Source organism: Homo sapiens, chromosome 4 (assembly GCF_000001405.40).
Source record: "Homo sapiens chromosome 4, GRCh38.p14 Primary Assembly".
Lineage (NCBI taxonomy): Eukaryota > Metazoa > Chordata > Mammalia > Primates > Hominidae > Homo > Homo sapiens.
In genome coordinates, this window is record NC_000004.12 from 47730500 (window position 1) to 47758065 (window position 27566).

The window sequence follows — 27566 nt, forward strand, 5'->3', positions numbered from 1 at the left end:
CTTGCCCACTTGGGCTTCAGGAGCCACAGACACCCACCCCCAGACCCTGCGGTGGGGCTGGAGCCCAAAAGCACTCTTGCAGGCCTCTGCACCTGCCCATCTGCATGCTCCCCCTAGGGGTTTGAGCTGCAGGGTGACCACACAGGAGACACCCCTGTTGCATGTGCTGAGAGGGGAATCAGGGAACTCTCCCGTTTTACTATTCACATTGCTTTCTATATGACTGGTATTCTCCCGCAGTTGTGCAATGCAGCAATACTGATGAAGTCCTGACAGTTGTAAAGACCAAGGGCTTTTATACTGAGTGAGAGGGAAAGCCTTAGGAAACTTAGAGAGAATAGATGTGAAAGTTTAAAAGATCCCTTTCTCTGCTGTGTGCATAGGGAGGTATCAAGGAAGAGGCAGTAATAGCCCAAAGGGGCAGAGGGAGGCAGCAAGGAAGCCAATAATGAGGCTGGAAGGATAATCCAGGCACAAATCCAAGTGAGCTGGGCCCGGTGGTTGTGGAGATAGTGAGCACTGGTTGGATCACGCATACATTTTGACAGTTGAACCACTAAAATTTACAGACAAATCAGGTATGGAGTGAAAGAGAAAAAGAAGAGTCAAGGATGACCCCAAGTTTTTAACTAGAACAACTGAAAGAACTACATTGTTATTGACTAAGGAGGGAAAAGCTGGGAGAAGAGAAAGTGCATGGGCAATATCAGATTGGTTTTGTATCTGTTTCGTTTGACATGCCTTTTAGAAACTCAAATAGAAACAAATAGAAGGCAAATTTGTGTGTGTGTGTGTCTGCATGCTGCAAGCATACATATGCATGCAGGTCCAGAGGTCAGAGGAGGGATGTGGGCTAGAGATCCGCATTTGTAGTTGTCAGTGTACCAGTGGTATTTAAAGCCATGAGCCTGAATTAGATCACCAAAAGGAGAGAGATCCAAGGCCTGAGGCACTCCAGTGTCTACAGGTGAAATGAGGCGAAAACACAAAGGAGACTAGACTAAGTGGCCAAAGAAAGAGGAAAACCCAATTGGAAGTCAGGTGAAGAGTTTATCAGGTAGGAGGGAGTGATTAAATGTAGCAAATGCTGGCCGGGCACGGTGGCTCACGCCTGTAAACCCAGTACTTTGGGAGGCTGAGACAGGTGGATCACAAGGTCAGGAGTTCGAGACTAGCCTGGCCAACATGGTGAAACCCCATCTCTACCAATAATACAAAAATTAGCTGGGTGTGGTGGCGCACACCTGTAGTCTCAGCTACTTGGGAGGCTGAGGCAGAAGAATTGCTTGAACCCAGGAGGCGGAGGTTGCAGTGAGCCAAGATTGCACCACTGCACTCCAGCCTGGGTGACAGAGCAAGACTCCATCTCAAAAAAAAAAAAGAAAAAAAATTAGCAAATGTTGTTGGAGGTCAAAAACTACTGAGAACTACTATGGGATATAGCCACACAGGTAGAGACCCTTGGAGATGTGGGGACAAAGGAGTTTTTCTTGAGAGGTGTAAGCAAGGACAGTGGAATGGAGGTTTGAAGCTTAGGGAAGTGGAATAAAATTGGGGATGATAGATAGATTTAAGAATCATCAGTGCATATGTGGCTATAAGCAAATATGAGATTTCCCAGAGAAAATATATAAGATGTTGAGAAAAGAAGGTTGAAAATAGTATCCTGTGGAATATCAACATTTAAGGGGCCAGTAGACAAAGGAAGGAGACTAGAGGGTGGCCAGGGCAGTGACAGGCAGATCAGAATAGAAATGTGCTAGAAACCAAAGGCAAAGAGTGCTACGAATGAAGAAGAAACCAACAGAGACAAAAGTCTTCCATTGCAGGGGGCAGCCAAGTTTATACTCCCTCCTTCACAACCCCACATCTCTTCTCCTATAGGACATTGTCCTTATGGGCTGTAACAGATACTGTCAGTTTCAAAGACTAAAGGAAGTGCATACCCCAGCTCCCTCACCCCTCTAGTAGACTAATTCTAAACCATATGTTGTACACTAGTTCCCAGATTTTCCCATGGGATTGCTCCAGTTGCCCACTATGGTAGCTGGTTTAGTAATCTACTCTTTTTTTTTTTTTTTTGAGATGGAGTTTTGCTCCATCTCCCAGGCTGGAGTGCAGTGGCACGACCTCAGCTCACTGCAACCTCCGCCTCCCAGGCTCAAGCAATTCTCCTGCCTCAGCCTCTTGAGGGCCTGGGATTACAGGCACACGCCACCACGCCCGGCTTTTTTATATTTTTAGTAGAGACGCGGTTTCACTATGTTGGCCAGGCTGGTCTCTGAACTCTTAACCTCAAGTGATCCACCATCCTTGGCCTCCCAAAGTGCTGGGATTACAGGTGTGAGCCACCGCGCCTGGCCAGTAATCTACTCTTTATTGGCCTGTTTCCCTTCCCACTCCCGTGACCCCCACCCCACCACTGTCTCGCGTCTCTCCCAAATGTACCATGGCTCAACTCCTTGTCTCAGGTCTGTGTCTGTGCGTCCCATGTCCATCTCTCCACTGGCCTATGAACTCTTTAAAAATATGCCTGTCTTCATGCCTTCTCCAGTTCCTGGTAAACTGCCTGGTACATAGAATATACTTACTACATGTCTGTTGAATTGAAGGATTTACATTTGCACAGGGCATGTGGCTTCTCTCAAATAAAGAAGTTATCTGAAATACATTATCCCATTTAGCCCATAACACAATTCTACCACTTAGGTATTATTATTTCTATTGTAAAGTTGGAGCAATAGAGGTTTAAAGGGCTTGAGAGACATGCTCAGCGCCTTCACGATGCTATTTGCAAAATATCCATATAAGTACCTCATCTATCTCTAGCAAAATATTGATGTAAGTACCTCAAAGAAATAGTATTAAATTATTTCTTCCAAATAAACCCACAATTCAATAGGAGAAATTCGGACTATGTGTTTTACCAGGATCCTGAAACTATCATTTTGCTGCTTGTGCACTGAAATGGTTGCTAGCAGCAACCGGAGCTAGGCAGAGCAAATAAGGTGCTATGAAAAGGAAGAGGAAAATGAATGAATAAATAACTGAAGTTCTTTCATGGCAGAGAGATCTCTTCAGGCCCACAGAAATACGATTTAAAATCAACTTTCCATATATGATTACAGACTAGGTAAAGGATTAGTCAGAAAGCTCAGCATGATTGATAGGTCCTGAACTTTAGCCCCCTGAGTTCTCACATCTCAACTATGGAAACACACAAATGTTTATTTTAAAACCTCTGACGAACAGTTCCCACAGCATTATCACTTTAGCACATTATTTACTTTACAAGACCTAGCATCAACATAAGATAGAAAGGATAAGACAACTGTGTGTCCTTCTATATGGGAACAAAATACCTTAGGAGTTATGACTGACTTAAAGGATATTAAGAGAAGATGAATCGAATTTACAGAGCTAAGCATTGGGAAAAGCAGCTGTTACAAGTTGTGGGTTTTGGCTCGATTCACTCTGGAAAGACACGTGAGAGCTCTTGTGAGAAGGGGGCTGTAGCGGCGGGTATTAATAAGGATTAATAATCAAATCTCAAGATGGTCCCAGGATGGTGGACTATTTGGGGGAGGATGGAGCCTGGGGGACTGGATTTAAAATAAGCTGGGAATGACCTCCTGAACCTCAGTTTCTTAATTTATAAAATAAAGATGATAATACCTTGGAGATTTACTCTGAAAGCAAATTGAACTAACAGCTGTGAAAGCACTTCAGAAAGGAGAATGGGGTACATAATGTAAAGGGAGGGAATTACTATTTCCTTGGGCAAATGATTTCACAAGTTGGAAGAAGACGATTGAGACAAGAGTCAACTTTTAGTCACCATTCATTTCATCGGCTAATTAGGAACCTGACACCCAACGCAAGTCCACAGTGCCGAATATCTTCACCAGAACACCTTCTTCCGTCCCCTTTGCTAAGTAGGAGCCTTTCTCTTTTAAAATATTCAGGATTCATTTATGTAATTGACTTCACTCTATTCCATTGACATTTAACCTGTGTCCTTTTATACTTTCTGTATCACAGCATATTTACATGTAGTTATTAATGCTCTTTTAACATTCTGTTTCTTACACGTGGGTATCACAGATTAGGTTTAACACTCCTTAAAGGTAGGAAGTATGTTAAACTATTATTATAATTATTACTGTTAGAAAGTACTTTGCAAAACATATAGCCCTGGACCACGGTTTCTCAAAAGCAGCACTCCTAACATTTTAGGCCATGTAATTTTTTGTTGTGGGAGGCTGTCCTGCATGTACATTGTAGGATGTTTGGCAGCATATCTTGCCTCTACCTACTAGGTGTTAGTAGCAACTCCCCCTGTTCTCACAGTTGTGACAACCAAAAATGTCTACAGACATTGCCAAATGTTCCCAAATGGGGGCTGCAAAATCACCCCTAGTGAAGAACCAATGCGTTAAACAGATACAGATTAAAATTATGGTCATCATAATTACTTTTACTTTTTCAGAGTACCTGGAATGATACGCAGAAAAGAAAAAGTGCTCAATCAATATTGAATGAAAAAATGAAAGAAAAACTACATTAGTTGTATTTATAAAGTGGCTCTATAGCATAATCCCTTATATGATTAAGACTGTATTATATAATAAACACTTTGCTGGTTGGCATACAATATATTCTTACACTTTTTAGTAACTATGTCTGTGTATACAAGAAATTACATTCTTATGCATATACAAAGATTGTAGCTGGCAGTGACTTTCTCTATAGCACACAAACTATGAATAGTGTCTAGCATCCTGTTTACCCATAAAGCAAGAGACAGAATACTTATTTTAAATTCTAGGTAAATATTACATCAAACACCAATTGTCAGATGCATTTTTGGAGAATTATCTCTACATGAAAAAAATATTACAACCAAGAATTCTAAAAAAGATTATCTGACAAGTAGAGGATCTCAGATGAGTGTACTTCGGAAATTTCTGTTCTATTTAAACATACATTTTTAAATATAAATGTTTCATCAATCTTTCTAAGATTTTTTCCAAGATCATCAATCTCTTCCAAGATTAGAATATTTGCAATATCCTCTGATATTAGAGAGCCAATGTTTTAAGTGGCATTTTAGTTTGTTATTAAAAAATACTAATAATGGGCTGGGCATGGTGGCTCATGCCTGTAATCCCAGCACTTTGGAAGGCCGAGGCGGGCGGATCACGAGGTCAGGAGATCAAGACCACCCTGGCTAACACGGTGAAACCACGTCTCTACTAAAAATACAAAAAATTAGCCGGAAGTGGTGGTGGGCACCTGTAGTCCCAGCTACTCCGGAGGCTGAGACATTCTCCTGAGAATGACGTGAACCCGGGAGGCGAAGCTTGCAGTGAGCAGAGATCGCGTCACTGCACTCCAGCCTGGGCGACAGAGACTCCAGCCTGGGCGACAGAGACTCCATCTTAAAAAAAAAAAAAAAAAAAAAAAGAGGATACTAATAATGTTATTTTGATTTTCAAGAACTGATATGTTTTGAGCAACAGTGTTACATAACACTGATGATTTTTTTATTTTCAAGTTTTCTCTATGAATTCTTAAATCCCGTATCAATGGGTTACATTTTCCAAATTACCACTAATGAAGACTGTAAGCATTCTTATAAAACAGGAGAAAATGTAGTTAAAACAGAAAAGACTTAAAGGACTTCTCTTTCAGTTTTACTCACTCAGCCTTCTAGTGGCTTTTAGCTATATACTATCTTTTGGAGGGAATCCTAATTTAGCAGCAGACCTCTACTAAACAACGTGTGAAAAAGAAAACAAACTTCCATTTCTGGCCATGAGGTAGTAACTTGCAGCAGATCAATGCCCCTGTCAAGTACAACTAGAAAAGCCAGATAAAACACAAGAAACATCTGTTGGAAGGCATCTGAGAGCTGATGAGATAATTAAGATGTGAGTGGCCAAGGTCCCAGAGAGAAGATAACTATAGAACAAAGAGTCTACATTCTTTTTTAAAGTTTTATTTTAAGTTCAAAAGTACATATGCAAGTTTGTTATATAGGTAAACTTGTGTCATGGGGGTTTGTTGTACAGATCACTCACTTATTAAGCCTAGTACCCATTAATTATTTTTCCTGATCCTTTTTCTCCTCCTACCCTCCACCTTCTGGTAGACCCCAGTATCAGTCGTTCCCCTCTATGTGTCTATGTATTCTTATCATTTAGCTAAGTGAGAACATGCCCTAAGAGTCTACAATCTGTGTATGCCTTGTCCTTCATGGAACTTGCCAGTTCTTGGCATGGTGCTACACATGTGACCACTGCAAAGACAAGATAAGCCAGCAGAACTTTTGGCAATTCCACAAAGGCGAAGAGACAAAAATTAGAGTTTGGTGTTGCTGAAGCAGCCAGATACTAAGGGGCCAGGTGAGCAGTGAAAGGGGAGACATAGAGAAGCAGATCTATCACTTGGGAGGGTTGCCTTGCAAGGCATTTGCCACAGAGGGCAGGAGCCTAAAGAACTAAGCAGAAAACTTCAGAAAAGTAGAATGGAAATTACAGAAATTATACTGCTCTGAGCAGAAAATAAAATAAAATTTGGAACTACTCAAGGAGGAAGGGAATATAGTAAGCCTACCAGTTTCTCAGTTGAGACTACTGGAGAACCACACTCTCAGAATGGAGAAAAACCAGAGGTAGACGGAGCCTTATAACAATGAGGCAAAATCAGCTTAGTCTCTGATTAAATTAAGGCTATCTGGCCCCATATGTGCCTAGTGATCATATATGTGGCACATACGTGTGATCATATATGTGTCTGGCCCATATCACATATACGATCTGGCCATATATGTCTACCCTTCAAGAATCTATTGCTACATTTGCTGGCCCACTGCCTTTAGCTGTCAGATCCTTCGGGTTTTGCCTCAGCTGTGGAACACTGAAGAGATCTGCCTCACTCAGTGGCACACTCTTCCCAGGAAGGACCACATCCAATGACTGATTGAGGTGGAGACACATAGACTCAACTATTTTGGATCAACATGAGATAACTCTTGTAGGCTTAATACATTCCAGAACTCCCCAAGGATTTAGCTGAGGCTTTGGTGGGCCTGGATCATATTTCAACTCCTTCTGCCCAATTCTGCTTTCTCTCCCTCCCTTAACACAAAGGCTGAAGCTTAATAAATACTCTGTACACCAAACTCCATCTCAGTTACTATTTGCAGAAAACTCAACTTTTAGCACCTAGTGTCAGACATGGTCTAAGAAAGCAGGTGATAAGATATGGTTATTGATCTAGATAACCTCACAACTACATCAGCTGTGAAAACTAGCAGCCAAGCAGCCACTAGAAGGGGCAAAACATGCTTGGAGCTCTCCACAATGCCCCATTACCAAAGAATTGTCATTATTTTTCTTGTCTGTTAGCTCCCTGGAAACTCAGAGCAAATGTGATTATTTGACCTGAATAAGAGCTTACTCAGTGCAAAAGCCTTTTCCCCGGGGTGTTTCTAAAAAAAAAAATTAATAATCGATTAACACTGTAACTGTCTGAGGTGGGGATATCACTTGGGGCAAACAAGAAGCTAACCAGAAAAATTAAAAGAAAAATGTGGGGAATTCCTGTAGGAAAATTTGAAAAGCTCTAATACATTGCTGAGAATCTAGAAGATCCCATGAATGTGCAGGACTATGCATATACCTAAGAAGGACCCAGAAAGGCCCAAATATCTCACCTGTGGCAGACATTGAGACCCTGTACAAGCAGAAATTTAAGGATAAGGCAGAGCTGTAAACTCTGCTATAGTATTGACTGCTATAGCATTGACTCTGCTATAGTGTCGACTCTGCTACAGTACTGACTATGCACCCTAACATGCACAGAATCCCTTGGCAAAGACTAGGATATATACCTGTTAAAGGCATTTAAGGAAATTCTGTCCAACCATTAGTTGACCACTAGGCTGCTATCTGGGCAAAAACTTCAGTGGCCAGACATGACAAAGAACAAACTTAACATAATTTGTTTCAGGGAACTCACTGAACAAATAAATAACAATAATTAAAGCAACAAGAAACAGAAACAGCAACTAATGTTGGGGGGAAGAATTCAACTTGCAGAGTTGAACATTATATTATTTTAAATGTCCAACTTTCAACAAAAAATTACAAGATGTCCAAAGAGACTGGAACATATGCCCATATAGAGGGGGAAAAAACAGTCAACAAAAACTGTTCCTGAGGAAGCTCAGACATTGAATTTACTGGACAGACTTTTAAATCAGTTATTTTAACTCATTCAAAGAACTAAGGAACACATTTCTAGAGAACTAAAGGGAAGTATAAGAGCAATGGCTCAAAAAATACAAAATATTAATAAAGATATATAGATTATTTTAAAATATTAGAAATTATGCAGTAAAATATATAATAACTGAAATTAAAAATTTACTAGAAAGACTTAACAGCAGACTTGATCAGGCAGAAGAGAAAATCCGCAAACTTTAAGATAAGTAAGCTGAGATTATCTAGTCTAAGGAACAGAAAGAAAAAAAAGAAGAAAAATTAAAAGGTCCTTAATGACTTGGAGGATGTACCAACATACTCATAATGGGAGTCCCAGAAAGAGATAAAAGAATGAGTCAGAAAGAATGTTTGAAGATATAATAGCTGAAAACTTCTCAAATTTGGAGAAAAACATACATCTGCATAACAAAGAAGTACAAAAATTCAAATAAACTCTAAAGGATCTACACTTAGACACATTGTAATTAATCTATCAAAAATCAGACACAGAAAATTTTGAAAACACTGGGAGATAAGCAACTCATCAGATAAAATGGAGCTTCAGAAAGGTTAACATCTGACTTCTCATCCAAACTGAGGAGTCCAAAAGGAAGTGGGATAACATATTCAAAGTGCTGAAAATAAAAGACTGTCAAACAGAAATTCTATGTACAGCAAAATATCCTTTCAAAATGAAAGACAAATTATGATATTCCCAGATAAACAAAAGTGGAGAGAATTTGCTATTAACAGAACCACCCTGTAAGAAGTACTAAAGGAAGTCCTTTGGGATAAAATAAAAGGACAGTATACAGCAACTTGAATCCATATGAAGAAATAAAAGGTATTGGTAGAGGTAATTAAATAGGTAAAAGTAAGATAAAAGAAATGTATTTTTTCTATAAATCTTTTATTATCCTATCTGATTCTTAAAAACAACTGCATAAATAATTTATAATCATAATCAATAAACCTATGTTGAGATTATATTATATAAAGATGTAATTTGTATACATAATGGTACAAAGAAGGAAAAAGAAACAAAGCTATACAGAAGCAAAGTGTAGATATTGTTGAAATTCGGTTAGGATTCATCTGAACTAGACTGTTATAACTTAAGACGTTAATTTTAAGTTCCAGCACAACCAATAAGAATAACTAAAAAAAATAGCCAAGCAACAAGAAATTTAAAATGGCACACCCCAATATATCTAACACAAAAAAAGTCAGTAATGAAGGATCAAGAAATACAAAAGTCATAGAGAAAACAAATTTCAAAACAGCATATGCAAATACTTATAATTACATTAAGTGTAAATGAATTAAACACTACAATCAAAAGGCAGAGATTTGTCTCATAGATAAAAATATGAGATTCAATTATATACTGTGTGTAAAAGGCATACTTTATATTCAGAAACACAAATAGGTTGTAAGCTCAAAAATGGAAATTTTTAGGTGCCTATGTGTTTACACATATTTTCTATTGCTGGGTGGAGTGTACTACAGATGTCTATTAGATCTCATTGGTTTATCGTGCTTTGTAAGTCTTGTATTTCCCTTTTAATCTTCTACCTAGTTCTACTCATTATTGACAGTGGAATATTATGGTTGAATTGTCTATTTTTCCTTCAGTTCTGTCAGATTTAAGTATTTCTGGCTCTGTGTTATGTTTTCCTGACGAATTGACCCTTTATCATTAAAAAATCCCTCCTCTTTTCTGATAACAATTTTGTTTTAAAATCTATTTGATCAAATATTAGTATAGCCATTCCAGCTCTTTTAGCAAAGATTGAATGGTATATTTACATATGTAATCTTTATCAAAATTATAGCTGAATTTTTTTCAGAAATTGACAAGTTAATCCTAAAATTTATACAGAAAGGCAAGGGACCCAGGATAGCTAAAGTAATCCTTAAAAAGTTAAAGTATGCACACTTCATAATTTCAAAATGTATTGCAAACTGTGGTAATCAAGAAAGATAGATAGATCAATAAAAAATAATTGAAAGTCCAGAAATAAACCCATACATCTATGGCCAATTGTTTTTTAACAAGGGGCTCCAAGTCCATTCAGTGGGAAAGAATAGCTCTTCAACAATACATACTAGGACAACTGAATTTCCATACGCAAATGAAAGAAGTTGGACTCCTACTTCACAACATACAGAAAAGTTAATTTAAAATGGATCAATGACTTAAATATAAGAGCTAAATCTATTAAAATCTTAAAAGAAAACAAAGGAATAAATAATTAGTCACCTTGTATTAGCCAATTTTTAAAATACATACACTAGAAGCATACACAACAAAAGAAAAGACAGATAAACTGGACTTCCTCAAAGTTAAAAACTGTTGTTAAAATGAAAACAGCCCCCGAAGAATGTAGGAAGATATTTGAAGATTATATAGCTTAAAAGGCACACTTGCATCCAGAATATATAAAGAACCTGACAATTCAACAATTTAAAGAGGCAACCTAATTTTAAAATGGGCAAAGTATTTGAATAGATATTTCTCAATATAAGGCATACAAATGGCTAACACTAACAAGCACATGACATGTTGCTCAACATAATTAGTCATTAGCAAACTGCAAATCAAAACCACAATGGGATACCACTTCACATCAACTAGGACAGCTATAAACAAAAGAGACAAGTGTGGTGAAAATGTGGAAACACTGGAGCCCTCATACATTGTTTGTAGGAATGGCATTTCCTCAAAATGTTAAACATAGAGTTAATACTAGTCACAGCAATTCTACTCCTAGGTATATAGCTGAGAGAATTAAAACAGTATGTCCACACAAAAACACAAAATCTTATACGCAAATATTATACAGACAGCATTATTCATAACAGTCCAAAAGTGAAAACAGTCCAAATATTCCTCAATTAATGTATGGATTTTTAATGTGGTATATTCCTACAATGGAGTATCAATTGACAATAAAAATGAATGAAGTACTAATAATACATGCTACAGCATATATGAACCCTGAAAATATTTTGCTATGTGAAAGAAGTCAGTCACAAGAGTCCCATACTGTATGATTTAATTCATATTAAATGTCCAAAATAGTCATGTTTATAGAAACAGAAAGTTAATTAGTGTTTACCAGGGGCTGAGGAGAGGGATAGCAATTTACTGCTAATGCGTGTAGGTTTCTTTCTAGGGTGATAAAAACATTCTGAAATTATTATAGATGATTATGATGGTTGTACAATTCTGTGTGTATACTAAACCACTTAATAATATACTTTAAAGAGATGAATTTTATAGTATGTGAATGATCTCAGTAAAGCTGGCATTTCTAAAAGGTAACTAGCATAATATGAAAAAATAATACATCATCTTAATAGATATAGAAAAAAATAATAAAATTCAAAACCCATTCAGGATTTTTTAAAAAGTCTTAGCAAACTACAAATAGAAAGAGCTTCCTTAATCTGACCAAGAGTATCCTAAAAACCCTTCACCAAACATCAGAATTAAAGGTGAAATATTGAAAACCTTCTTCCTGACATAGAAGAAACAGAAAGCAGAATGACTGAAAAGGAGGAAATAAATTGTCATTATTTTAGATGACATGATTGTGTACTTAGAAAATTCAAATGAATTTACAGACAAATTATAAAAATTGTTGAGTGATTTATCAAATTTCTTGGATACATAAAAACAGAAAATAAAGGAAATGTTTTAAAAATATATAATTTACAATAACATCAAAAATACCAGATACCACAAATAAATCTAAAGATGTGCAAGATCTCTATGGTTAAACCTATAACACATAATTGAGAGAAATTTTAAAATGCCTCATTGAAAATACCTACTTAAATATTACCATAGTATATAATTGTTATGGTTGGAAGACTGACTGTTGTAAAGAAATTTTCCTGAATTTGATCTATATATTTAATGCAGTCCCAATTTAAAAACAAAACAAAAACAAAAACAGCATTTGTGGAAATTACATAGTGATTTTAAAATTTACATTAAACGCAAAGGGCCAAAAATAGTCAATCTTTAAGAAGAACAAAGATAGAGGACATATAATATTCAATATAAAGATGCTATAAAACTATAGTAATCCAGATAGTGTGGTATTGTCTTAATTCTATTCTGTCAATTAGAGGGTTCAAAAATAGATATACATGTAATCATTCACTTGATTGATAGCAGCAGTGATATTACAGTGCAGAGGGAAAAATTGTCTTCTAAATAATTAAATGGTGGTGGGTCAATTGAATATACACATAGAAAAAAATTAATTCCTATCTTTTACCTTTCACCATGCACAAAAAATAATTCCAGAATTATAGTAGATGTAAAACTGAATGTCAAAACAATAAAGATTCTAGAAGAAACATAGGAGAAAAACTTCTATGTTTGGGGGTGAGCAAAGATTTCTTAAGACACAGAAAAAAAAAACACAAAAGAAAAGATTGATATTATGGACCCATTAAAATTAAGACCTTCTATTCCATCATAGATGCTAATAAGAGTAGAAAGGCAAGCCATAGGGCATGAGATCTTTGCAATACATATATCCAACAGATGACTTGTATCCAGAATTCATACAAAACTATAAACTGAAGACAAAAAGACAGACCATCAAAAAATAGGCAAAATATTTGGACAGACATTTCACAATACTCCCATCAAAATTGTTAAAATGAAAAAGACTGACAATGCTAAAGATTGGGAAGGATTTGGAGCAACTACAACTTTTATAAGGAGCTGGTAAGAGCATAAATTGGTACAACCACTTTAGAAAACTTTTTTGTTGAATAAATATAACCATATTCAATTAAAGACAGGCACAAGAGGCTGGGAACGGTGACTCATGTCTGTAATCCAAACACTTTGGGAGGCCAAGGTGGGTGGATCACGACATAAGGAGTTCAAGACCAGCCTGGCCAACATGGCGAAACCATGTCTCTACTAAAAATACAAAAGTTAGCCAGGCATGATGGCGTGCACCTATAATCCCAGCTACTCGGGAGGCTGAGGCAGGAGAATTGCTCGAACCCGAAAGGCAGAGGTTGCAGTGAGCTGAGATCATGCCACTGCACTCCAGCCTGGGTGGCAGAGCAAGTCTCTGTCTCCAGAAAAAAAAAAAAAGACATGCACAAGAATAGTAATAGCATCACTGTAATAGCTGAAAATTGGATACAATGCAAATGTCCATCAACAGTGAAATGGAAAAATATATTTTGGTTCAATCATATATTAGAATGCTGTATAACAATGAGAATGAATGAACCACAATATGAAGATGTAATTAATTTCTTGAACATAATGCTGAGCAAAAGAAGACAGGTTTTAAAAAGTTACATATTGTATGATTCCATTTATATGAAGTTCAGAAGTAAGCAAAACTAAGGTGATAGAAGTAAGGATAGAGGTTTCTTTTGGAAGGGTGAGATATGACAGGCAGCGGGCTTGAAGGCATTTCTGGGGATGTTGTTAATATTCTATTCCTTGATCTGGGTTCTGGTTACATGGATCTTGTCACTTGGTTAAAATTTATCAGACTGTACACTTATTATTTATATCCATTCCTGTATAAATGGCATACTCAAATAAAATCTTCTAAAAATGAAATGAAACACAGACACCTACATTGCTTTCCGTTTTCCTGCTGAGGTGAGAAGCAAATTCTGCTGACATTGCTGCTTTCAGTTTGGTTTCTAAACTGGGAGCATCTGAGGAAATCCGGCCAGGAGTAATTCACCATCCCCAGGACTGATTCACAGCCTTCTTTTGCAGCCTCACAGAAGGACCTACAGGGCAGGAGTCCATGACTAAAAAAAAAAAAAGAGAAAGGTGAAAATTAGTGTCTTTACAGAATAGGTTTTGAAATAATAGTGAAATTAAAGTTAGCCCCTGTGTTGTGATATTATCTTAATTTATACTTACTATAGTCAGCAACTTAAATTTTTACATTCAGTCCTATGACAGTGATTTTAGCTATTCTATGGTCTTGATTCTAGAAGAAATAGCTAGTTCCACATCATCTAACTATTTCTTGTAGGAACATTTATCAATAATTTGTTTAATATTTACTGGGCTAAAATATATAGTTGTCAGCCTAAAAGAGCTCTATTTAATATCAAAAGGGGAAAATTAACATGGAAACGAAGGCCCTCAGATTGCAAAGGAAGAAGTAGGTCAAAAATATGTTATTCTTGTATTTTTATCTTCCCTTTGAGAAATTCAAGTATCTCTGAGTGGCAGCAGAGAGTAAGCTGTTCCATTATTAACTTCCCCAGCCTCCCTGGAAAATGAACATTATACAGATGAGTGGCAACTTGGAAGACCTTGTACAGTTATTTATCTTTTCAGATTTCTAGTCTGTCATCTGCAAAATAAAAAAAAATGCACACAATTGTCTGTTAATAGTATGAGTAATGATGCCCCCAGAGCTTATCTTTATTCACTTAACATGCCATGAAACAGTCCTAGATCCATAGCTCTGTGGATGGAGATGGGATACTAACAAAGTCAAGGCCACGGACTTGCTTCCTTGCAGACCCAGGTAATTGTTTCTACTTTACAGCTGAAGGCTGCATCTCTCACCCTGGCTGGTCAATTGCTAAAAGCATTTCAAATAGTTTTAAGGAAACTGGGAAAGAAAATAGACATGTCAGTTAAATCAAAGCATACACTTCACAAATGTGGAGCCAATAAGATATCACAGAATCGTACAATATTAGATATGTAACAAACCTTAAACAATACCTTATTCAAATCCTTCAAATGAGATAGTTCCAGGGAGATTCTAGGACAGACTTGAGGTCAAATAGCTCCTAATGGCAGAAGCAGGAATAGAATCCTGGTGTTTCAAGTTTCAGGACACATTCTACCTACTCTCCCTGTCTCTTCTCTTCTAAGGACCTAATAGTTGGGCTTTTAAAACTCCTTGATCCAACAAGCACATTTACAATACCCCATTCATACTTCTACAGATTACAAAAACATAAGGGGATAGGCCAGCCGTTGAGATCAAATGAAACTAATAGGGTCTGTAAAATAATCTTAGGGCAGAGATCTTTGTACATAAAAATGGAAAAAGGGAATTCAACAATTACATTCAGATAAAAATATCTTACCTTCCTCTCAGAAAGTCACCTTAAAACTGAGTATCTTTTGGAATACTGATCTTCATATAATTGTCTACATACATTAATATGTAACCAAATTCAACAGTGAGGATGTTGAAGAAGAGGTTTTGTATTTGAAAGAATTAGCTTCAGCATATAAAATATGAATTGGTTCAGGCAAGTTTCTTGGTATAAAGAAGACACCCGAAATATATTAGATATTTCTGGGACTAAGAAAGGATCACTTAAATAACACTGTTTTTCATTATTTCCTGCCTGTCCTGACTCTTATCCCAGAGAAGTTAGCGAATATACTTTCTCAAATAAAACTAGGATACACAGTAAAGGAAGGTGGAGAACATAAAATTACTATATGCAGTTACTTATGTTTGCCAGGCACTGTTCTTAGTACCACACATGCATCACCTCACTGATTTCTCAGAACAGGATGAGTAATAGGTGTTATTACTAATCCCCAATATACAAATAAGGAAAGAAGCACAGACAAATAAGACATTTGTCCAAGTTCACTGAGGCAATGAGAGTCAGAGCCGGGATTAGAACTCGGGCAGATTGACCCAGGACCTATTCTATTTACTACTGTACTACGAGTAAGTCCTAATTTCATGAATGCATGTCTTGAAAGCACAACGCAAATCTTTTTTTTTTTTTCAAATGGAGTCTGGCTTTGTTGCCCTGGCTAGACTGCAGTGGCGCCATAGGCTCACTGCAGGCTCTGCCTCCTGGTTTCAAGCGATTCTCCTGCCACAGCTTCCCGAGTAGCTGGGATTACAGGCATGCGCCACCTCGCCCGGCTAATTTTGTATTTTTAGTAGAGACAGGGTTTCAACATGTTGGCCAGGCTGGTCTCAAACTCCTGACCTCAGGTGATCTGCCCACCTTAGCCTCCCAAAGTGCAGGGATTACAGGCCTGAGCCACCGCACCCAGCCAAGAGTGCAAATCTTGATATGCACTTTGTGAGTGGCACCATCATATACGTGATGGGTGAGATCTCCATTCTACAAAAGCCTACAAATGTGCATTGAATCAGTATTTGTCAAAGGGGCTAAGAAACACAAGGAAAGGGTAAATACATTTGTGCTTTCTTCTCTAGGTGTGAGCCAGCCCACAGTAAAGCTATAAAACAAGCTAGGCTTGTCGTTGGTGTTCCTCCTTTGCCTTCTAGTTCTTGACCAAGGTCCCAGGGTCCCAATGCCCTTGTGATCACCCCGATGCCAGCACCCCACCTAGATGGCCACCTCTACCAGAGTGCTTGAAACATATTATTCCCTTCCTACAATCAAAACAGTACTCCCAATTGCAGCTGATCTCAATTAAGCTTTTAAATAAGAAAATAGATGAAAAAAACACAGAATAATGCATAATAATAGATGAACACTTAACCCTCCCAGAGATTTTTGCATCTTTAAAAGAAGACTGCTCACTGGGGCAATGGAATCTCTAACTGATGAAATTCCAGATACCATTTAAAGGGAAAAAAAAACATTCAACATTTTTTGAAGATGAGAAAGATGTCTGCAAACTGAACAACACTCTGGAGCCCAACTCTCCCAAGCAGTTCCTGGACCTTTCCTCATTTCTGAACTGAGTTATTTTATTTTATTTTATTTCATTTCATTTCATTTCATTTTATTTATCATTCTACATCTTTTCTTAGAACCTTCTAGGGTAACAAAAATGAAGTTTCATACAGGAGGCCAGCAGACTGTTTTCAAGTTCTAAAGTTAAGTCTTTAATTCAGAAATGGAATCATTGTCATTGACTCTTACGGTGGTCATTTTTCTACAGGAAAGCCTCAGTCTATCACCCTGCAACTTTCACATGGCCACTCCTCCACTGTTGAATCTTGGGCAATAGCTCACTCATGTCAAAACTCAGTTTCCTCATTTGAAAAGTGAAGGTTTTGGAAGAGCTGGAGTTTGGACCATTTTTCATAGTCCTTTTACTACTAACATTCTGTAAGTCAAAATTCATTCTTTAAGGCAATGTTTCTCAGAGGAGCACTGATAATCCCACCAGATTTGCTAAATTTCAAAAGGTAACAGGCATTTTCCTCAAGATTTGTTCTGGGAATATATAGAGACATTAAAATACCATTAGGCCCTCCATTCTAAAAATAGGGCCTAAGAAAAATGTCTACTGTGTTTCCAAATAGTTCTCTTAAGAGGTGTAACCAACTGAGACCCATAAGCTTTAAACTGCTGGACCAGGATATGTGAAATAGTGATGGGGTATTAATAACTAGCAACACTTTCCAACAGTGAGCAAAATGTGTAGTCATTTTTTCTTACTTTGCATAAAATTCAACTGCCTAGGGAAGGTTGAAGCATTTTGCTTTTCATCACATGGAACAGCGTGGTGAGATAGGCCACACTATTTTGGAATATGTGTCTATATCCAAGCAACAAACAGATTGATGACTTTAAAACAGCTCTGCACAGGGAAGGAGACCACTTTAGCTATCTAAAAACTATTTTAGAAAGGGTGATTATTTTAAATTGATGTCTGAAGTGCATTTGGTGTTGTGCAAAAGTACCTAGTACATTTCAACTAAAGTTAAAGCAGAAAGCTTTTATACCTCCTCTATAATTATTTGTTCAAACATTTGATAGCTATATAAATAATACTACAATATAGTGATAGTGAAGTTTTTATGGTGTTCTCACTAGGAAGGCTGTTATAAAATTATTTATCTACCAAAACTTGTACAGTTTATCTATAAAAATGTTAGAGAATTTATCTTCAAATAATTTTGTTATAGTATATATACAAATTAATATATAGATTTTATCTGCAAAAAACAAGTTCTGATAAGGACATAAAGTTTAAATTATGAAATAAGTCATAGCCACAAAGCAGGCTTATATGGTTAATGGATTTTTAAGTTTTATAAATCATTTTTCTCTTAACTTTTGATTTTGAACTACTGTTAAACTTACAGAAAAGTTATAAAAATAGTACAGAAAATTTCCATATATCCTTCATCCAGACTCCACTAAGGTAAACATCTTACATAACTGTAGCATAATTATTAGAACCAGGACATTAGCATTGATACAATATCTTTAACAAAACTAAGGACCCTATTTGAATTTTGCCAGGATCTCCATTTAGGATCCCACATTGCATTCAATTGTCACTTTTTACTTTTGGCAAATAAACTAATCTTTAAATATTATTAGGAGAACTCAGAATTTAAAACTCTTTTTTCATGAGAAAAAAAAAAACAGAATCTTTGTGACAGGTGGACTTTAAGATGGCCCGCAATGATCTCTGCTTCCTGGTATTCATGCCCTGTTTAATCCCCTCCTCTGGAGTGTAGGTTGCCTGAGTGATTTGCTCCCAACCAACAGAAGGTAATGGAATGTCAACTTCATCATTAGTCTACATAAGATTGTGACTTCTGCATTGCTAACAGACTCTCTCCCTTACTGGCTTTGATGAAGCAACTTGTCATATTGAGGAGACCCACATGGCAAGGATCTGAAGGTTGCCACTGGCTAATAGACAGCTAGGAACTAAGACCCTCCAACCAAAGCCTTTAAGGAACTGAAGTTTTTCCAAGAATCACATGAGCTTGGAAGTTGATCCTTCCCAGGTCAAGCCTTCAGATAAGACCCCAACCCTGCCAACATCTTTAATTCACCTATGTGACAGACCCTAAAGCAGAGGACCTGGCTGGGCCACTCCCAGATATCCGGCCCATAGCAACTGTATAATAATATATGTGTGTTGCTTTAAGCTGATAGGTTTATGGTAGTTTGCAATATATAACTAATACACTTTTCTTGACACATCACATTGTCAGAGGCATGCTACTGAGTTTGATGTTCTATTCATTGACAAGACTCACACAATCATCTTTTTAAAAATACATTCCTAAGTTTGTCTTTGTTAGGCTGAGCTGTTCAGTGAAAAATGCTCACAAAATCATAGTCACAGGCACCTCCCAGAGCTGCAGAACTTACTTAGTCGTGAAGAGAATGTTAATGCTGGAAGGATCTTCCAAGATAATCTACTCCCATTTTCTCCTTTTGCATTATGAGGAAATTGAAGCCTAAACAGATTTTCATAGCCAAATACTGTGACTCCAGTCCAGTGCTCCCAAATATCTTGCCTATCTGACCTCCTTGCACAATCTATGAGCAACAGATAACACAGGAACATAAATCAACAGATGACAACACTACTGGAAAACCCAAATAACAATAGATGGCTTGTTCTCCCTATGATAAGCGAACAGCATTGGTTTCCTATGTCAGCATCTTCTGCGACCTCAAGAGACCATATAAGAGGTTAGGCTTAGCGGGGTATGAGAAGCAGAAAAGAGGCTTCTTTGGTTTCTACTCCACTAAACGTGGGGATGGACAGCGGTGCAAGGGAATTTTTACATGTGTCATTGTCTCCCATCAGAAGATAAATAATGGAAGCATTTGTGGTATTTTTTGGTCACATTGGTCTGACTCTAAAATCCAGGACTGTGTCTTTCTTTTTCTTCATTTGTAATAGTCATGATCCTACCAGGAAAGAGGTGAGCCACTAAAGCAGGTTCACTGCAGAATGTTTAATGAAGGGCTCTGATCACCTACAGAAGGAAAAGGTACAGGCAGGGTTTAGATAAACCAACAAGGCATAGTACAGTAGGCTGCTGCAGGGAGCTGTTAGCACCCTAGGTTTAAGAGACAAGGGGAAAAAGAATTTTCTGGAACTTGGAGAGAGTTGTATGGGGAAGGCTGCTTGATAGGGGTCGTGGCCTCTTACAGTGAGTGGGTTGCAGTCAACCCATGTAACCTGGCAGAAAGGAAACCAGGGGATCACTACCCAAACTGTCTATTCTCCCACACTATGATCTCATGCTGGTGGCTTCCATTGGCTGAACCCAACAGGAAGCTAGAAAGTAGCCACTGTTGAAGCGGCCTCCCCTGGGAAGAGTTAGGATGGAGGAGAGTGGAAAGTAGATATGGAGAAGTAAATGAGAAACAGCCAGCACAAAGCTGCATGCCTTGCACCTAGTGAAAGTTCAGCAAATACTTGTCAAGGGATGAAACACAGTGATGTGTGAGCAGACGGTTAAACTATGATTAGCTTGACATCTGGTGGGACTGTTTACACCACAAGAATCAGCAAATTATGCAAATAATGGTTTTGTTGTTGGTTTGTTTTTTCTTCCTCAGGGATCCAATTTACCAGCACACCACTGAATAAAAGTCTAAATCATGTCATCTACTACAGAAGGAAAGCTGTTTTCATTTCCACTCAAAAGAAAATTACAGCCATGAACTTCTTGAATCCACATAAGAAATGATCTCAATATTAACTCCTTCTCCACCACTTCTACCACTCCTCCTTCACATACATTATTTTTTCGGGGAGTATAGCTCAGGGGTAGAGCATTTGACTGCATATACATTATGTTTTTGGTGGTAATACCATCTACCTAAGTCTCCAAGTCCAAAAGCCTTTGCCTTCCAGTCAACTTAGACATTCATATGCAAATAATCACTAAATACTGCCAATATTACTTCCTAAAAATCCGTCAAATCCATTTTCCCTTCTCTCCCATTTTATTTTCTAGAAAAATTAAGCCAGCTGTACTCTCTCTAATATATGGTAGATCTGGCTGTTACTTCATCTGAATTGCCTTTTTACCCCACCTTGTTTACATGGCAAATTTTTCTTCTTCCTCCAAAATTAATTTCAGCAGTTACCTCCTCCCTGCTAGTAGCCTTCCCTAATAATGCCAGATAAAATGAATTCCTCCCCTTTCTCTGTGTTACCTCCATGCCTTGTAAACTGATCACATTTTACAGCAATTTAATTGTGTTTATGTCTGGTCCTCTATTACGCTAAGTCCCTTGAAGACAGTAGTATGTTTTATTCATTTGCGTAACCCAGCATCTAGCAGTGTGCCTGGCACATTATAGGCACCAATAAGTGTTTGCTAAAGGAATAAATTGATAATTTTCCAGGTATCTTTGTTGAATAAACTGATGCCAGGAGCTGAGATAGAGCTAGTTCCTAGTAAGACCCTCTATTCCTCCCTTACGTCAGGCCCCCCCACCCACACTCCCAACCTTGGCAACAGTAACTGCTTGCAGGACTGATCCCATCATGACCTCTTTTCCCACTTCAATCAATTATGACAGGATGCTCAGTATATCCGGCTCTCCCTCACCTCCCGGACTTCCAGATCCTCATGGATCAAATGTAAGCTTCGCAGTGAGTTTTCCTGAACAACACTGCCTAAAATTGCACCTCTTTTCACCATACTCCCACCCTCCCAAAGCTCTCCATTCCCCTGCTTTGCTATTTTCATTGCACTTATCACTATCCGCTAAACGAGTATTTATTATCTGTCTATTTATTTGCTTACTGCCTATCTCTCACCGGCATAACATAAGCTCTGTGAAGCCAGGGATATTTGTTTATTTCATCTGCAGCTCTATCCCTCCTGTGCACAGTCAGCACTCCATAATTATCTGTTGAATAAGTAAATGAATCACACGCAGAGGTGACTCCTGCCTGAGATAAAGCTGTCAGTAGCAAAGTTGGGAGGAGAACCTAACTCCCAACTTAATTGGGAATACAAAAGCTCACACTACCCTGCCCAAGAGGTGCCCTCCACTTCAGGTCAGCAGGTTCTACATGCACTATTCAACATTTAAGTAATGCCCACGTAAGAGTTAAATGTCAGTAAAACTGTCATAAATGAAAAGCCTACAGACTGAGGGTCTTGTTTGCTATGCCAATAGCAGTGTGTCCCTCTTAAAATACAGAAACTTAGAAAATACTAACAGATAAACACAGTTTGAATTAAGATGGGCATAAATAATGTAAAAATGACACAGCCACTCTGAAAGAGAATATAAAAGTCCATACTCTTTTAACCAACACATTCCTGATTCTCATTAATATTTGGCATACTTACCAGGGCCCAGGGGATGAGAGATTAACAGATCACAAAAGAAATGTGCAATTGTTGAATTATTTTGCAGTTGTTTTGATTTTTACACATTATAAAAGGATGCCATGAATACGGATATTCAAATGAATTGAATCACAAGTATTATTTATACATTCTAGTCAGAGCCACATAATTATCGGGGGAACCAGCCCCCAATATTTCAATGTAGGTTCTTTCTATTTTCCCTAAGAGTTGGCCAGTCTAAGAAATAAAGAGAGTACAAAGAGAGGAATTTTACTGTTGGGCCTCCAGGGGTGACATCACATATTGGTAGATCCGTGATGTCCCCTTGAGCCGCAAAACCAGCAGGTTTTTATTAAGGACTTTAAAAGGGGTGGGGGTGTACGAACAAGGAATAGGTCACAAAGATCACATGCTTTAAAGGGCAATAAAGATCACAAGGCAAAGGGCAAAGCAAAGATCACAAGGTAAAGGGCAAAATTAGAATTACTGATGAGGGTCTGTTTTCAGCTGTGCACATATTGTCTTGTTAAACATCTTAAGCAACAGAAAACAGGGTTCGAGAGCAGAGAACTAGTCTGACCTCAACTTTACCAGGACGCGATCTTTTCCAGACCTTAATAAGCCTGAGGGTACTGCAGGAGACCAGGGCGTATTTCAGTCCTTATCTCAACCGCATCAGACAGACAACCCCAGAGTGGCCGTTTATAGACCTCCCCCCAGGAATGCACTCCTTCCCCAGAGTATTAATTATTAATATTCCTTGCTGGGAAAAGAATTCAGTGATATCTTTCCTACTTGCACATCCGTTTATAGGCTCTCTGCAAGAAGAAAAATATGGCTGTATTCTGCCCGACCCCGCAGGCAGTCAGACCTTATGGTTATCTTCCCTTGTTCCCTGAAAATCGCTGTTACTCTGTTTTTTTTCAAGGTGCACTGATTTCATATTGTTCAAACACACGTTTTACAATCAATTTGTACAATAGTGGTCCTGAGGTGATGTACATTCTCAGTTTAAGAAGATAACAGGATTAAGAGATTAAAGTAAAAACAGGCATAAGAAATTATAAGAGTATTATTTGGGAACTGATAAATGTCCATGAAATCTTCACAATTTATGTTTCTCTGCCACGGCTCCAGCTGGTCCCTCCATTCAGGGTCCCTCACTTTCCTCAACACATAATACCGATGAATTATTGAGGAGAAAAGTACTGCACAGAGCTTGATGAAATGTGTGTGCTTGTGACACTGTCAGTAACATGACAAGGCATTTTTAGAAATATTTGATCTGTCATGGCCTGATTCTCTAGCTTTACATCTTTGTAAAATGAAAGTAATTGGAATTATATGACAGTATCTTACCTATGCTTTGAGCTATTTTGGCTCATAAAATGAAACCTCATCTATCACTTCATATTTTATGCATAATGCCAAAAAAGCAACTAAGTCACCAGTGTTGCCTGATGTTGAAAAGGGAACTTTGCTACAACCAGCTGCCTAAACAGCCAGGTTGCCAGAACTCATGTGGCTGACTGCTGTTTCCAGGTTAGCAGATAAATTCAGGAAAGTAAGCAGCAAATGACTTCAGAATATTTCTTTGGTAACAGCAACAGTGCTCATCTTTTTTGTTTGACTACTGATCTATATATATTTTAAAAAATTATAAATATGAAAGTATTTAATTCCTTAATGTTTCCATTTATTCCCAAATGAGATACAATTTGGGACATATGTAACTTAACACCTAGAGCCTGAAATTCTATTTTCTACCATGAACTGTTTAAGCAAAGACCAATCCATCCAATACACAGAGGGGTCCAAGCAGATGACCTGGCTCCTCCCCAGGGTGATACTCTTTAAATATTTGTTTAATATTTATTTAGCTGAGAAACTGAGATTTGCACTGAAGAGAAACAGGACTTCAGGTAGCAGGGACCCAATTTGCAAACTCAACTTAGTAAACCAGAAGTCCTGCAGTTAACTCAGCCCATTCTTTCTGAAGGCAGTTAGGTGGCCAGTTGTTGCTACTGGATATGATCCATCATATGTCAACACAATGCCCCCCAAAACCTTCAAGTAGATTCTCTGATTAGTATTCCAAAGCAAACATAAAAGAGTTTTTGAGAAAACCTATGCTAAATTTAATTTTCTTCATCTTGTTTCATGAGTTTTTGGAGCTCCTTATTCATCAGTGCCATGGGCCACTGTAAACGGACCTGCCTCTCAACCCAGTGAAAAACCAAGTAACCTTAGGATGCTGGATTCCTTACCCTAGTGTCTCCAGTAAGTTCTCATCAGTCAGTTTAAATACCTCCAGTAATAGCAAACTCACCATTTCCTGAGACAACAATTCTATATTTACACAAGTTTATTATCCATAAAATTCTTCCTTTAGCTAAGTAGGAATTTACTTCTCAATGACTTTCAATTACTAGTTCTATTAATATGTTTGCCCTGTGGAAGAACACAGAAAAAGTATGCTCCCCCTTCCATCTCATGGCCCAGAAACATCTAAGAACGGCCATGGTATGCCCTCAAAGTTTCACACCCCCAGTTCCCTCAAGTATTCTTCACATGAACAGATTCTCAATCGCTATTCTCATCAGTATCCTCTACATATTTTATTGTTGTTTTCTTTCTGTTCTTTATATAAACTTTAATGCTAAAATTTTCAATTAGAAAGTCTTTTTAACTGAGTGCATATGAGTTAATATTAAGAAGAAGCACAGAGCTGCTAAGCCAGTCTTCAGGCACAATCTAGTAATTCCTCATCCATTAGGTCCAGGATTTTAACAGTGATGGAGAAGTGAGAGTTAATTTAGTATCTGTTAGCTGGTTATTCTGCCAACCAGATCATCAGTGTTGCCTGATTTTAAAAAGGGAAGCTCAGGAGCTTCAGAAGGAAGCTAAATTATCTCTGGAAATATTATCCAAGTCGCCTTAAAGTTTCAATTCCCTTAATATACACACAAAATTTGATTTATGCAAAAATTTTAGGAACATATAAATTATACAAAAAGTGTAGTACAACTATAGTCAACATATTTTGAACTCTCATTAACCTAGACATTTAGGAGGGTTCCCTGATTGAAGAGTTCATTTATTCCTTTACTCAGCTATTTAATGAGCACCTGCTATGTGTTGGGCAGTGTTCTGAACAATGGGTATACAATGATGTACAAAGTCAACAAGTTCTCTGCCACTGTGGAGCTTGTAAAGTAAGAGAGGCAATAAACAGACAGGCAAAAGGGGTTATAACTGTGCCATGGTGAAAGATAACAGGCCCTATTGAGGGTGATCAGAGATTTGTCTGCAGAGATGTCTTCTGAGAAGAGGGCTTAGTGTGAGGAGAAAGATACTACCAGGTAAAAGGAACATTATACACAAAGGAAGCTAGAAAGAGATTGGCATTTTTGAGAGGTAGAAAGGAAGGTCAGTGCAACTGGAGCCAGGTCAACAACACTAGAGAAGCAAAAAGGGCTTCAGAAACTATGGTAGGGACTTACAACTGGCTATGGGCAGAGCTATGCTTTGAATCAAATGTAATCTGCCCCCAAACTTTCAAGCGCATTCTCTGCAGTTGCCAGATGAAATTCTTTAATCTTCAGTGAACACACATAATATAAAATTTGGGTAACAGTATGGTGTTTTTCAAGAAGCTCATTTGAGGAAACTCATTTGGTTCTCACTGCAAACCTACAAGGATTAAGTACACTAAAGAAAACTGTAGTATACTATGGAAAATTGAGTACATGACAGAAAACATGTAGTTTCCATGCTTCAGGTGTAATTTTTAATCTTAGTCATGTGGCTAAGTAATTTTTTTTATAAAATTGCTCTAGATATTAAGAATAGTTGTTTAGGACCTAATGGCAAATCAATATGTCAGAGGGAAAAACAAATAACCAACACATCAAATTCTTAAAGTTAAAATCTCACTTCAGGAGCATGGAATATCTCTGCAATGTACTGGAACATATAAGCAAGCTGGAGATAATCTGCTGGGTCTCCTCCATTTCAATTAGCCTGTTTTGCAGTACATGATGTGTACATTTATTAAAAGCAGACACAGTCTAAAAGAGAAACTGTGAAAGCTCATTGTTATAACATATGATATAGTTGATCAGGATCTGAGGTCTCAAAGGAATCAAGTTAAAAACTATAACATTTACACATACCATTATAATATTTTTAAATTAAGTTTTAAATAGTATTATGTAGGTATTGTCTCTAGGATGAAATACAAGCAAATCTTCATTATTTGGTTAGCAGGGGAAATTAGTATGATGAATGATCCAAAATAATGAAATATAAAAGAAAAATATATTTGACTTTAGAATTTTTTTTTATAATACATTTTACTTCTCTGAACTCACTTTGCTTATTAAATTTAGCTTGCAGATCCCACACATACACTAAGTGACAGCAAGAAGCATTGGTCTGAAAGTGCAATTATAAAATTAAATATAATAATAAATGCAGGGCCAGGAGTGGTGGCTCACACCTGTAATCCCAGTACTTTGGGAGGCTGAGGTGGGTGGATCACTTGAGGTCAGAAGTTCGAGACCAGCCTGGCCAATATGGTGAAACCCCATCTCCACTAAAAATACAAAAATTAGCCAGGCGCGGTGGTGGGCGCCTGTAATCCCAGCTACTCAGGAGGCTGAAGCAGGGAGAATTGCTTGAACCTAAGAGGCAGAGGTTGCAGTGAGCCGAGATCACACTACTACACTCCAGCCTTAGCAGCAGAGCGAGACCCTGCCTCAAAAAATAATAATAATAAATGCCACAATAAAAAATAAAATAAGGCCCCAAAGGATACTTGAAAACTAATATAATAATGGATATCATTATCCATGAAAATAGAAGTAAAAAATTACCATATTAGCACACTTATCAGGTCAGGGGAAAAGGAAATTGTACCTAAAAGTGCCCTGAAAACTGTAAGCAGCTTAACTAAAAATTTACAGCTAACATTCAAGTAGAGATTGAATTATAATCAGGAGAATGATTGAAATGAGTTTACACATATATATACATATATATATGTATATATATATATATATATATATATATACACAAATATACACATATATATATTTGAGACAGAGTCTCACTCCATCGTCCAGGCTGAAGTGCAGTGGCACGATCTCAGCTCACTGCAAGCTCCACCTCCCGGATTCATGCCATCCTCCTGCCTCAGCCTCCCGAGTAGCTGGGACTACAGGCGCCTGCC

At 37.7% G+C, this 27566-nt stretch overlaps 1 protein-coding gene across 3 annotated transcripts in view; it reads right to left on the reverse strand.

The window, feature by feature from the left end:
- Positions 1-27566, reverse strand: part of CORIN (corin, serine peptidase) — a 244067-nt gene that overhangs the window by 136499 nt on the left and 80002 nt on the right. For all 3 annotated transcript variants that reach the window (NM_001278585.2, NM_006587.4, NM_001278586.2), the window contains one exon: positions 13903-14084. In NM_001278585.2, the coding sequence (NP_001265514.1) occupies positions 13903-14084 (182 nt within the window). The remainder of the gene's footprint in view (positions 1-13902; positions 14085-27566) is intronic.